General features: G+C 38.6%; 1 protein-coding gene across 9 annotated transcripts in view; it reads left to right on the top strand.

The window, feature by feature from the left end:
• The window catches only part of SSH2 (slingshot protein phosphatase 2), a 304,291-nt gene that overhangs the window by 47,992 nt on the left and 241,368 nt on the right, over positions 1 to 14,931 (top strand). The window lies entirely within an intron of this gene.

Raw genomic sequence — 14,931 nt, 5'->3', positions numbered from 1 at the left:
TTGGTAAGTGTGCCAAATTGCTTTCTAGAAAAGTTGTATTAGTTTACACTTCCATCAGTAATATGCTCCAGACATCAGTGAGTATGCTCCAGACATCATTTTCCAAATATTAAAAATTACATTCTCATTTTAGAAGACTGGCATTGTATAATAGGACAGCTATGTATCAATCTTTGTATCTCCCTGAAGCTTTCAGCCATTGAGTTCTGTAACCAAATGACTTCCTGTACATCTTAAGAAGCAAATAATGCAGTTTTTTCCTCAATTGAAATGTTTGGAGATGTTTGTTTGTTTGTTTGTTTTTCTCCTTGAAGCCTGTAAAAGTTTGAGTTCATTTTAAAGTTTTGGGGAAATTTTCAAGTTCTGATTTCATCTCCCACGTGTACTTTTCATAATTATTTCATTTTATTAACAAAGTAGGGCCAGGCGCAGTGGTGGGCTGGGTGTGGTGGCTCATACCTGTAATCCCAGCACTTTGGGAGGCCGAGGTGGGCAGATCACGAGGTCAGGAGTTTGAGACCAGCCTGGTCAACATGGTGAAACCCCATCTCTACTAAAAATACAAAAATTACCTGGGTGCGGTGGCAGGTGCCTATAATCCCAGCTACTCGGGAGGCTCAGGCAGGAGAATTGCTTGAACGTGGGAGGCAGAGGTTGCAGTGAGCCAAGATTGTGCCACTGCACTCCAGCCTGAGTGACAGAGCAAGACTCTGTCTCGGAAAAAAAGAAAGAAAGAGAAAGAGAGAGAGAAAAGAAAGGAAGAAAAGGAAGAAAGAATGAAAGAACAAACAAAAGAAAGACAGGAGGGAAAATAGGCACTACAGATTGTTCACAATTCCCTAACTCCATTTAATATAAGGATTTTGATTTCTCCTTTTCACTGAAAAACTATCCTACTGTTCTTTGGTGGCCAATGATAACAAACTTAGTTTATAGCTACTATAACTGAGGTTTGGGAAATCTTCAATACTTCACATATGTATAGATGCTGGCAGTGTATCAAATTCTAGTTTCTAGTCTTTAGTTCTTTAAAAACTCTTTAGTCACTTTGTTATTCTTACATTTCATTTGTGATAATTGATTAACATGTTTGTATTTGAAGACATTAATCACAATTTAGAATATATAAGGAGCACACAGATACTACTCTGTATCTTTTAGATTTCCTTATACCTATGAAAGATGTTATTCAGAATTCAATATGTTCATTTAAGTTTGATATAAATATTTTTCTGAAAAGAAAGAATTGAGCCATAAATGAATTGTTGTGGGATATGCTGTTTGGTCCTTTGGGCTCAAGGCTTAATATTAATAAGACTCCTGAACTGAGCCAGGAATCCCCAGGTCTAGCCCTAATTGGCTTTGTAACCATGAGCAAATTCATTTATCTTTGCATCCTTATAAAATGTCCTACACAAAAAATGTTATTTTTATGAAAGTATTACTCAAATATGAGGTAGTGTTCTCAGGGAGAAGAAAAAACCTTTGCCTTTGAGAATTGGGATGGAAGGGAAGTAACTTTCTTAATTAAATTCAGCCTGTACTATTAGAGAAGGCAGCACAGTGCAAAGCAAGAGTCAGAACTCATTTGCTTACCAAAGCCAGGAGGGAAGCATGAATATATGAATTGGGCCTATATAAGACTTAGGGAATTGTTGGAGTCTCTGTGTATCTCTCTTGTCTAAAAATCAGATTAATTAAAAATAAATACCATGAAAGTTATACAGAACAGTTCTACAGGGAGGATTCTTCCTGTGAGCTTCCAGTTTTCAACCTCTGGTTTAAAGAAAAAAATGGGCCTGGTGTGGTGGCTTGTGCCTGTAATCCCAGCACTTTGGGAGGCCAAGGCAGTTGGATTGCTGGAGTGTAGGAGTTCGAGACCAGCCTAGGCAACATAGTTTGAGACCAGCCTAGGCAACATATTTTGTCTCTACAAAAAATAGAAAAAATTAGCTGGTCATGGGTGGTACGTGCCTGTAGTCCTAGCTACACGGCAGACTGAGGTGAATCATTTGAGCCCGGTGGGGCTCGAGCCTGCAGTGAGCTGTGATTGTGTCACTGCACTTTATCCTGTATACTGTTCAGCAGAGTGCCAAACATGTAGTAGGCACTCAATGATGTTTGATGGCCAGCTAGCTAGATGGATAATGGATGGATGGATGGATAATCGAATGAATGACTAGAAGGCTGTTCATCCTAGCAGCATGTGTATACAGTATATTGAGTTGTCTTTGCAATTGGTTTGCTCTTTTTTTTATTTGAGTCTCATGAGCAAAATATAACAATAGATTTTTGAAAACATCTTTTATGTTTTTAACATTCTAGTCTCTTACATCTTTAGGTGTCAAAATTTAGTATGCCCAACATTAAATTTGTGGCATTGCTTTCACCAGCTTAATTTCATGAGCTTTGGCTGGGATTTGGAAACATTGCATCTTGTTTTGATGATTTTCTGATTGGCTGGAAGCCTCAAATGGATGTCACATGCTGTTAGAGCAGACTTTGCAAAGAAAAAGACAGTTGATCTTCTTTGTTTCAGGTGGTCTGTTCCCTCAGTTTAGGTTTTGTTTGATTTGGGGAGTATTTATTAACTTTAGGGATGAGTTGCATTTTCTTTCTAATATCCATTTGTTCACAAAAACACCTAGTAGGTATTCAGTTCATATTGGAATGAATGAGAAAATGAGCAGCACATCAATTGTAACAAATGTACCACTTTGGTCGGAGATGTTGATAATGGGGGAGGCTATATGCATGTGTGGAGGCAGGGGATATATAGGAAATCTGTCTACCTTCTGTTCAATTTTGCTGTGAACCTAAAAGCGCTCTAAAAAATAAAGTTTATTAAAAAAAAAAAAAAAAACAGCAGAAAGCACTGTTCCTGAGAAGTGGAAACAGCATGAGCCTCTGAATAAGAAAAACCTATTTGAATACTGATTCTACCTCTCACAATTATCACTCACCTTGGATAGATAACATGGCTGAGTCCGTGTATATCCATAATATGGAAATGATAATACTTAAACTATATTACAGATTTTCAATATTCTTAGTTTAAATTAGGTCAACATTCTGATTTTTTTGTTGGGAAAATATGGTCATCATATTTCAGCTCTTGGACTTTTTACCATGGAATTTTAAAACCATATACTTCTGGACACATTTTAAAAAGTAAAATGTACAGACATGAGATGTGAGGGGAAATCATGTAATTTAGCCACCAATTTGTGCAGTTTGTATAATTATGACAAATAACACAATGCTGTCTGTATTTGTTAAGTTTTCCTGTGATTGACTTCAGAATATCAATGAATCTTAAACCAGACTTTTTCTGTTATTCATTTGCTGCTTTGAGCTTGTTTCTCTGCCTATCCATTTTTTATATAGCTCAGAAAATTAAACAATTGAGATCTTGAGTTTCATATTATACCATTAATTTGCTTATTACAATCATAACATAGTATATTTAGTAGGGCACAGCTGGATTTTCTTTTATTTGCATATGCCTTATGGTAATACTATGACTAGTAACTCATTATTTAATATGGAATATCTACTGTAGTGGAAATCTAGAAGAAATATGAGTGCTGAATAAGGTAGTAAGGGAGATTTGTAGTCTATACTTATTTGATCTTTGTTTCCATCTATTTCTCCAATTGTTTTTTTTAAAATCTCATCCATTGATTTATTTATTCTAAACATATATTTTGAGCATCAACTATGTGTCACACACTATGCTAGGCAATAAGTATGCATTGATGAATAAACCATGCATAATTCCCTCATGAAGCTTGCTTTATCTGTAGCAGTAGACGCAATTTTGCTCCTGTTACCCAGGCTGGAGTGCAATGGCACAATCTCGGCTTACTGCAACTTCTGCCTCCCAGGTTCAAGCGATTCTCCTGCCTCAGCCTCCCGAGTAGCTAGGATTACAGACATGCACCACCACGCCTGGCTAATTTTGTATTTTTAATAGAGATGGGGTTTCTCCATGTTGGTCAGGCTAGTCTCGAACTCCTGAACTCAGGTGATCCGCCCTCCTTGGCCTCTGAAAGTGCTGGAATTACAGGCATGAGCCACCATGCCCGGCCTCTTTGTTCTTTTAAAAGGTACAGTTATTATTGACTGTAGTCACCCTGTTGTGCTATCTTCGAGACAGGGTCTTGCTGTGTCACCTAGGCTGGAGTGCAGTGGCATGATCTTGGCTCACTGCAGCCTTGACCTCCTGGACTCAGGCAATCCTCCCACCTCAGCCTCCCAAGTAGCTGGGACTACAGGCACAAGCCACCATGCCTGGCTAATTTTTTAATTTTTTTTGTAGAGACAGGGTCTTAATATGTTGCCCAGGCTGGTCTTAAACTCCTGGGCTCAAGCAGTCTGCCAAATTCCCAAAGTGCTGGGATTACAGATGTGAACCATCCTGCTCAGCCAAATACTAGGTCTTATTCATTCTATTTTTTTTTTTTTTGGTACCCATTAACCATCCCTACCTCCCCTTCACCCCTCTACTACTCTTCTCAGCCTCTGTTAACCATCCTTCTCTATCTCCATGAGTTCAATTGTTTTGATTTTTAGATCCATAAATAAATGAGAATACAAGATGTTTGTCTTTCTGTGCCTGGCTTATTTCACTTAAAGTAATGACCTCCAGTTTCATTCATGTTGTTGCAAATGACAGGATCTCATTTTTTAAATGACTGAATAGTACTCCATTGTATATAAGGGCCACATTTTCTTTATCCATTCATCTGTTGGTAGACACTTAGGTTGCTTCCAGATCTTGGCTATTGTAGACAGTGCCACAACTAACATAGGAGTACAGATACCTCTGTGATATACTGATTTCTTTTCTTTGGGGTATATACTGAGCAGTGGGATTGCTGGATCATATGGTAGCTCTATTTTTAGTTTTTTGAGAAACCTCCAAACTGTTCTCCATAGTGGTTGTATTAATTTACATTCCGATCAACAGTTTACAAGGGTTCCCTTTTTTCCACATCCTCACCAGCATTCATTATTGTCTGTCTTTTGGATAAAAGCCATTTTATCTGGGATGAGATGATATCTCATTGTAGTTTTGATTTGCATTTCTCTGATAATCAGTGACGTTGAGTACCTTTTCATATGCCTGTTTGCCATTTGTATGTCTTCTTTTGAGAAATGTCTATTCAAGTCTTTTGCCCATTTTTTAATTGGATTATTAGATTTTTTTTCCTATAGAGTTGTTTGGAGCTCCTCATGTGTTCTGGTTATTAATCCCTCGTCAGATGGGTAGTTTGCATATATTTTCTTCCATTTTGTGGGTTGTCTCTTCACTTTGTTGATTGTTTTCTTTGCTGTGCAAAAGCTTTTTGCCTTGATGTGATCCCATTTGTCCATTTTTGCTTAGGTTGCCTGTGCATGTGGGGTATTACTCAAGAAATCTTTGCCCAGTCCAATGTCCTGGAGAGTTCTCCCAATGTTTTCTTGTAGTGGTTTCATAGTTTGAGGTCTTAGATTCAATTCTTTAATCCATTTATGTTTGATTTTTTATGTGGTGAGAGATAGAGGTCTAGTTTTATTCTTCTGCATATGGATATTCAGTTTTTCAGCACACTTTTTGAAGAGACTGTCTTTTCCCCAATGTATGTTCTTGAGGTTTAACTCGCAGGCAACCTAAGCAAAAATGGACAAATGGGATCACATCAAGGTAAAAAGCTTTTGCACAGCAAAGAAAGCAATCAACAAAGTGAAGAGACAACCCACAAAATGGAAGAAAATATATGCAAACTACCCATCTGACGAGGGATTAATAACCAGAACACATGAGGAGCTCCAAACAACTCTATAGGAAAAAAAATCTAATAATCCAATTTTGTTCTTGACACCTTTCCCAAAAATGAGTTCACTATAGATGTGTGGATTTCTTTCTGGATTCTCTATTCTGTTCCATTGGTCTATGTGTCTATTTTCATGGCAGTAGCATGCTGTTTTGGTTACTATTCCTTTGTAGTATAATTTGAAGTCAGGTAATATGATTCCTCCTTTTTTTTTTTTTTTCTTTTTACCTTAGGATAGCTTTGGCTATTCTGGGTCTTTTATCGTTCTGTATAAATTTTAGGGTTTTTCCTATTTCTGTGAATGTCACTGGTATTTTGATAGAAATTACATTGAATGTGTAGATTGCTTTGTGTATGTACTGTGAACATTTTCACAGTATTGATTCTTCCAATCCATGAACATGGAATATCTTTCCTTTTTTTTTTTTTTTTTTGGTGTCCTCTTCAATTTTTTTCATCAGTGGTTTATAGTTTTCATTATAAGCATGTGTACAAATTCGTAGTTACAAATTATAATTCTATGACTGAAATAACTAGGGAGCAGTACATAGATTAAATGTTAGGCAAGGCCTTCATGATGGAGTTATACCGAGTGAGGTTTGAAGAATAAGTAGGAGCCAGGCATGGGGTAAAAGAAAAAGAGTCATTTAAACAAAAGGCATATTCAAAGCCCCAAGGTGGGAGAGAGTTTGGCATGTTTGAGGAGGTTGAAGGGAGGGCAATGTGGCCGGATCATAATGTAGTGGGGCTGAATGAGGAAACTATGGAGAAGTAGATAAGGATGAAATCATGTGAGGCTTTACAGACTGTAGTAAGAAGTTTTGATTTTTTTCCCCAAGAACTATGGGAATACAACTGAAAGGTTTTCAACATGGGAGTGACCATGTTTGTGCTTTCAAAAGATGGCTTTGGATGCTGTGTGGAGAAGAGACTATAGGAGATAAGGATGGAAAGAAGGAGGCCAGTAGGGAGGCAATTGCAGATAAGAGGTGATACTCAAGAGGAGATGACAAGAGTTAGATAAACTTAAGACATATTTTGGATATAGAACCTACAGGGCTTACTGATAAGCTGAACAGGAGGCTTGAGGCAAAGGGTCAGGGATCACTCTAGATTTCTGATTAGAGAAACTGAGGTGTATGTTTGCATTGTTTTCTGAGATAAGGAATACTAGTCCTGGGCAGGCTTATGGGGAGAGAATGGAAGTTGAAGTGGGGAGTATAGTTCTAACATGATAAGTTTCAGATGACTGTGAGACTGTCATTGGAGATGACACATAGTTGAATATATGAGTTCAGAGTTTAGAGAGAGTGATATACAGACAGTCTCCAGCTTACCATGGTTTGACTCAATGATTTTATGACTTTATGATTTTTTTGACTTTATCAGAACTGAGCCTTGTAAGTTGAGGAGCATCTGTACATTTGGGATTCACCGGCAAATAGTTGATATTTAAAGTCCTGGTACTAATGGGATCACTTGGGGGAAAGTTATAGAGAGAGAAAAGAGAGCTCAGGACCAGCCCAATCTTTTGAAAATCTGCAGCATTATAATTAACTTAATTTTCTGACTGATTTAGATGTTATCTGACAATCACAGAGAATTCTGCATCTCCATGTTCTTTTCACAGCTCATAAAGGCAATTTAATTATTTATTTGTAAATAATTAAAGTATTAGTCTGTTCTCATGCTGCTATAAGGTCATACCCAAGACTAGGTAATTTATAAAGAGGTTTAATCAACTCACAATTCAGCATGGCTGGGGAGGCCTCAGGAAATTTACAATCATGGTGGAAGGCAAAGGGGAAGCAAGGCACCTTCTTTACAAGATGACAGGAAGGAGAAGTACCAAGCAAAATGGGGAAGAGCCCCCTATAAAACCATCAGATCTCATGAGAACTCACTCACTATCATGAGAACAGCATGCAGGAAACTGCCCCCATGATTCAATTAAGTCCACCTGGTCTCTCCCTTATCGGGGTTATAGGGAGTACAATTCAAGATGAGATCTGGGTGGGGACCCATATCAAAGCCTAACCATATCAAAATATTTATTTATAAAACCAAATTTATTTTGTAAGTTAAATGTGTTAACCTGAAACCCACCCACCCCCTCCCCATTTTTTTGAGACAGAGTGTTGCTCTGTCACCCAGGCTGGAGTGCAGTGGCACAATTGGCTTACTGCAACCTCCACCTCCCAGGCTCAAGCGATCCTCCCACCTTGGCCTCCTGAGTAGCTGGGACTGCAGGCACGCACCACCATACTCAGCTAATTTTTGTATTTTCTGTAGAGATGGGGTTTTGCCATGTTGCCCAGGCTAGTCTCAAACTCCTGAGCTTATCCGATCCACCCACCTCAGCCTCCCGAAGTGCTGGGATTACAGGCATGAGCTGCTGCGCCCAGCCTGAAAACCCCCTTTAATAAAATATCTTTCTTTAGCCTATTAATAAACTTTTCTGGAAACCAAACATTATTTTGAACACTTCCCTCTCAAGGGAAAATAAATGTAGAAGGTGGAGGAAACTCAACCAAATATCTAATTTGCCAAGAACTTTCCCTAGAAGCTTGTTTAAGTAAGTCAGTCAGTCACTGATAGCAATTTCTGTTCTTGTCTATAACCTCTTCTAAAAACAGAATGGAAAATGGAAGGAAACTTTCCCTTGGATGGGGATTTCCAATTTAAATTTGCTCTATTCAGGCCCTATGTCCTATATCAATAGTAAAAGTTGATTGATGTTTGCCTTGGTAGGTGATAATGCTACAGCTCAACCTTTCTTCTGGATTTATGGCTTTGTTTTTTATATTTCTTGTCTCCATATGTTTGTTCCATGTGTTTCTTTGGAATTTTTTTTTTTTTTAAACATAGTCTGGCTCTGTCTCCCAAGCTGGAGTGCAGCAGGGCGAGCTCAGGTCATTGCAGCCTCCACCTCCCGGGTTCAAGTGATTCTCCCGCCTCAGCCTCCCGAGCAGCTGGGATTACAGGCGTGCACCACCATGCCCGGCTAGTTTTTGTATTTTTAGTAGAGATGGGGTTTCGCCATGTTGGCTAGACTGGTCTCGAACTCCTGACCTCAGGTGATCTACTGCCTCAGCCTCCCAAAGTGCTGGGATTACAGGTGTGAGCCACTGCGCCCGGCCTCTTTGGAGATTTTTGAGCTAGATGTACATCTTAAAGATTTTTTGTTTTAAAAGTCATATTAAAACCAATCCTACCCAATTCCATTTCTCTTGGCTTTTTAGGTAACCCGTAAGTAACTGTGGATATTTTGTTTTGCTTGCAGGTTGGCTTGCTTGCCTTGTTAACTCCGTAGCTCTAAAACTCACCAAAGTTAATTTTAAAAATTATTCTTTCTAACATGAAGCACTTCAGAGTTCTATTACTTTCACCTTACTGTACCAAAAAATACTTTTTTTTTTTTTGAGACCAAGTTTCACTCTGTTGCCCAGGCTGGAGTGCAGTGGTGTGATCTCGGCTCACTGCAGTCTTTGCCTCCCCGGTTCAAGTGATTCTTATGCCTCAGCCTCCTGAGTAGCTGGGATTATAGGCACGCGGCACCACGCCCAGCTAATGTTTGTGTTTTTAGTAGAGATGGGGTTTCACCATGCTGTCCAGGCTGGTCTCGAACTCTTGGACTCAAGCTATCCACCTGCCTCGCCTCCCAAAGTGCTGGAATTACAGGCGTGAGCCACCCCACCCGGCCCCCAGAATACTTTTTACACTACCAGGAATATCCACCTATAAGCCCTCCTCTTGTACTCCATAGCACCTTGTTACGAGACCGCTAGCTCCTCTGCCTTTTTTTTATTTTTATTTTTTATTTTTGTAGAGATGGGGGTCTTGCTGTGTTGCTAAGGCAGGTCTAAAACTCCTGGCCTGAAGCTGTCTTCCCGCCTTAGCCTCCCAAAGTGCTGGGATTATAGGCGTAAGCCACCATGCCAGGACTTCTCTGCCTTCTTTAGTTATTGTTCCTGTACCCACTTAACCTTTTGTAAATATCATTATTCTCTTTTGGGAGGGAGGGAGATTTCTTTCTTTGTTAATGTAGTCTCTAGGAATAGGGATATACACTCTTTTTAATATTACTATTTTGATTCTTGAATGGGAGCCAAGAGTTCATGTTGATGTTATACTGTGCTGTTATGGCCACTGAGTAATATTAATAATAGTCACCAATTCCATGGGATTGTAAAACAAATTGAAAGCTGTAAACTCTCCATTTTCAAGAATTAGAGCTGGAGTTAGTTTAAAAACAAACATGTGCATAATACAAAAGAAACAATTTAACCCTTTAATAACTTTGAAAACAAAGAGCAATCATAATGTCTAATAGACAACTGCTTTCCACCAGTGTTTTTCCATTTAACAAAATCAATCAGGCTTATTAAAGGATTTGGCTGAAATAAGAGTTCCCTATGTTGTATTAAGGACAGTAACTCATTTCAGTGTTCTACAATGTAATTATTCATCTGTTGTTGAACATTTGAGCTGATATATGTAATATAAGAAAAAATAGGGAATATTTTTGTATAAATATTTATACACCTCTCTATTTCTTTAAATTCTGTAATCGACTAATAGGTCATGAACATCTTTAAGATTTTTGACACAATGTCATATTACTTTCAGAAAAATTTTACTATTTTACACTCCCAGCCATTAGTATGTGAGAGTTCCTCTTTCACTTTTCCCAGGTTTGGAAACATTTATAATCTCTTATCTTTGCCAGTCTGAAAGATGAAAGTGGAGCTTGTTTTATTTTGCATTTTTTATTAATTAAGTAGGGCATGTTTATTTTTATGATTTATTTTCTTATTTATTTTAAAAAATCAAATGAATCAGAAAGCACTAATATAAATAGAACAGTGTATCTTTATTCCACACTGACATGAAAAAGAATTGCCTACAAATGGCTGCAAGAGAGTATATTTTCAAATCTTGTTGTCTTGAGAGATTAGATGTAAACTTACAATTCTGCTATGAATATCTCAAGCTCTAAACAGTATTCAGTAGGATGTTAACATTCTGAGTCCAATGTTCCAGAACATAAATTTGCCAGTTCTCTGAAAACACTGGAACAGAAATGGAAAATTCAATAGCCCTACTTCAGTGACTTCCTTACAATCCACCAATGGGCAAAATGCAGGCAAGACTGCCAGCTGCTCTGTATCTGCAAACATTTGTGCAGAACTAATTTTAAGAGCAGATGTTGGAAATAAAGAGAAAAAAAAAAACAATTGCAGCCTCCCCTCTGAGAAAGTTAGACCTATCCCGTGACTTCTCAGATGCCCCATAACCCTGTTAGCCAGAGTTTCATTCCAAAAATACCATATTTTGCTTCCTTACTTTCTCATGTGAAAAGTTTTAGAAATGCTTAAGGGAATATAACAACTTCAAAAAGTCTTAGTACTGCTTCAGTTGGCCCTGTATGATGTTGTCATATATAGAAGAGTCTTTGTCTGCAATTAGAGTTTACTCATGAAAGATTCCATTCTGACCTTTGGGGTGTGCAGACTTCAATTGTATCATATCCATCTAAAAGAAAGCCTGTTTGTTTTGTATTGAGGTAGAAATTACAGATTATGAAGAGAAAAACTCTAAGAGAAAACTCTTATTTTTATCAAATAGACAATGAAGGCATGGTAGTTCAGTAGAAATTTGCTAAATCAGTGTCTGAATGATTTCATGTACAGATTTTAGATTTATGGTATCAGTATTCCAGATCTCCAAACAAGTTCACACAGACCCCAGTAGATGCCTGTGTGACACTTGTCAGTATCCTCACTCACATGTCAGAGTTTAATCAAATCTGGTTTTTCCTGGGACTTGCTTACTGCTAAAAGGCTAAAGACGTTCTTTTGTTATTATTCGATTTTAAAATTTATTTTTGTTTAATTTTTTAAACTAGGTAAGACATTTACAAAGTTCAAAAGTCAAAACCTCATAAAGGGTATATAATGAAGTCATCCTCTACTTTCGTACCCTGGCCATCCAGTTCTCCTCTTCACAAACAATATTAATAGTTTTCTTTGTCTCTTTGCATGCATAGACATGCAAGCATACACACACACATTCTTCTCTTTTACACTAATGGTGACATACTATATACAATATTGCATATTTTGCTTTTTTTTTTTTTACCTATTCTGCTTTAGAAATATTTCCATATTAGTACATCAAAAACTTCCTTGTTTTTATTTATTTCAGATAATATTCCATTATATAGATACACCATAATGTATTTAACCAGTCTCCAGGATATCGTTATTATAATAAATGCTGCAATGAGTAACATTGGGAAAATGTCATTTAACATAATTATAATCAATTCCTAGAAATAGAATTGCGGGCCCAAAGGGAATAGTTTTATTTTTAATAGACATAAAGCTAGGATGGGACCCAAGGTCCTATCCTAAAACCAAACCTGAAAAAAAAAATAGTACCGACCAATATCCCATGCAAGAAGTCCATGCCTAAACTCCAGGTTTTTTTCTAGGATCAGGCCAATGACTATCATAAACACCTATGATTTAGTATCTATTCCTACTGCCTATGAGGAGAGTTCTGATTTCAACTGGGCCTGCACTCTGTGCAGAGATCAACACAGACTGATTTCTGCAGGCGACCTTCCTGCACTTCATATGGTTTATGAGAAAAAGCCGTTGTCAAAAGCAGCTTATTCTTTCCTGCAATTTTCTTTTCAGAGGAACTCTTTTCTTTGGCAATAATCAGGGGGTCTTATTCACAAGGGTCTCTGCTAATCTCTTGCCCTGGGCAGGGTAATTCTTCCCTATGACTTGGCAGTTCCCCGATCTTTCATTTCTTCCTTGATGCTCTCCTATTTTGGGTCTCTAGTCTCTTGCTTTTGTTAGTTAGGGCTAAATTCTTGTCCTGAATCTTCCCTTTGGCCTAAAGCTTAGAGACCCAAGGTGTTTCTCTTTGGCCTCCATAAAGACACAAAGCATCCTAGGCAAGGGACACTACAAGGGGACAGCCTTGTGGCTATCTCTGAAGCCCTACCTCAAAGTTGAGCTTCCGCTCACCAGCAAGCTGCTCTTTAAGTTATGGTTGGCTTGGATTTCGGGCAACCAACACTCTTGATTGTAGGAGGCATTCCTTGATTACTGAAGTCCCTAGATTACTAAGATCCTCCTTTAGCTTTTGGGAGTTTCTCACCCCAGTGGTTCTCATGACACCTCCCAATTATGGTTTAGTAGGTAAGACCCCTTGTATTGACCATCTCTCTAGAATCTCTGTCCGTTGAAGCAATTTCTGAATTCATCTCCAAAATCCTTTTCCTAAGATGGAAACTAGTTTAGAGAAATGTTCATTTCTTTGAGAAACATCTCTTTTTAGACACTCTCACTCCTCTGTTCTCTGGCTCTGGGGCATTGCTATTTTATGGCTAGAATCTTTTGAAACACTTCTACTCTTATCCCTTTACTTATTTCCTGACATTGCTCAACCTGTAATCAGCTCTGAGCTACCTCTATTAGCATTCTATAAAGTCCCACTTTTCTAGGTTATTTTCCATGATGCTGGATGAGAGGGACTGAAAAGTCTGCCAATTTTTCTCCCCATCCAAGGGAACGGGGAGGATTCTGCAGGCCCATGACCAATATTCGACAGGGCTTCTTCCAAGAATTTCCTGGTGGGAACTGAGTTTTTTTTTTTTTTTTTGAGGTGGAGTCTTGCTCTGTCGACCAGCCTGGAGTGCAGTGGCACGATCTCAGCTCACTGCAACCTCTGCCTCCTGGGTTCAAGCAATTCTCCTGCCTCAGCCTCCCAAGTGGCTGGGACTACAGGCACAAGCTGCCACGCCCAGCTAATTTTTTGTATTTTAGTAGAGATGGGGTTTCACCTTGTTGCCCAGGCTCATCTCGAACTCCTGAGTTCAGGCAATCTGCCCGCCTCGGCCTCCCAAACTGCTAGGATTACAGGCATGAGACACCGCACCCAGCCGGGAACTGAATTTTATGTGAGCACCTTGTCTTCTGCCTCCATGAGGGTTCCCCCAAGGCGCTTGGCAACCTCCCTATGGTGTTGGCTACTGAACTGTGGGTGACCGAGAAGAAAGGCAGACTAGGACAAAATGTGTAATTGGGCTTCTCTCATCTTTAACAATTTTATGGATTCAAGGATCTTGAGGGGTAGGTACTACCTCTGCTGTACCCAAAATTAACTGAGTTTTTAGTACATGTCAAGGGTTTAGATCAGGGAAGAAGAGCCCTAGAGAGTTATTCAGGTGATATTCTTCTCAGAGAGTTTTAATCATTGGTATAACTGTTTCTCCAAAGAATAGGGAATGAATCTCTTTGAAAGATTATACCTGAGGTTTACAAGCTTTCACTTAGCTCCTTCTAGGCAGCTTCTCTCATCATAGTGCACTTAATCAATTAGAATACAAAATGACCTTGTTACAGTGTGAGGACATCTTGTGGTCAGAATGCTATATAGGAAATTAATTGCAAATATAAGACCATCACTCACTTTACCCCCAGTTCAGCCTGGTAGTTCTTAATTTTAGGTATCTCTAGCCTTCCTTGATATCAATCTAGGTTCCTCTTCTAATACTAGAGCTAAATCTTTCAGTTCTCTTATTTATTAAAGAAGGAATAGAGCTCTTTACTTGCGAGGAAATAGGCTCTTTTCACAATCATCTGACACCTAACTTTGTAGTCTCAGCATTCTAAGTAACAGCGATCTTTCTGCACTTGTCTTTCTTTCCTGGCATACATCCCCAGACAAATGTTCAAGGGATGCTTTTCCCTCCTTTCTTACTCAGTGTCTTCTTTTCTTCAGATGCCTTTCTGAAGTTGCTTAGTTTCTCTAAAATATCTGCCTTTTGCTGTTCAAACCTTCATTCTGTAAGGAAATAACAGAACTCCACCTCTTTGCACACATACAGTGATCATACTACCTGATACACACGTTAGCATCTCTAAAACCTAATTTACTTTCATAGTCCAGGTCCCAAATCAAGCTACACAGATTTTTTTTGTTAAGTGTTTTTGTGGCAGGGGCTGGGGGAAGTTGATGGTTGTATTTAAACCACAGATAGCTCTCATATATTGGTCTGAGGAGAGAAATAAATAACTAGAATGCTACAGTT

Source organism: Homo sapiens, chromosome 17 (assembly GCF_000001405.40).
Source record: "Homo sapiens chromosome 17, GRCh38.p14 Primary Assembly".
Taxonomy (NCBI): Eukaryota; Metazoa; Chordata; class Mammalia; order Primates; family Hominidae; genus Homo; species Homo sapiens.
This window is presented reverse-complemented; position numbering and strand designations above follow the sequence as displayed.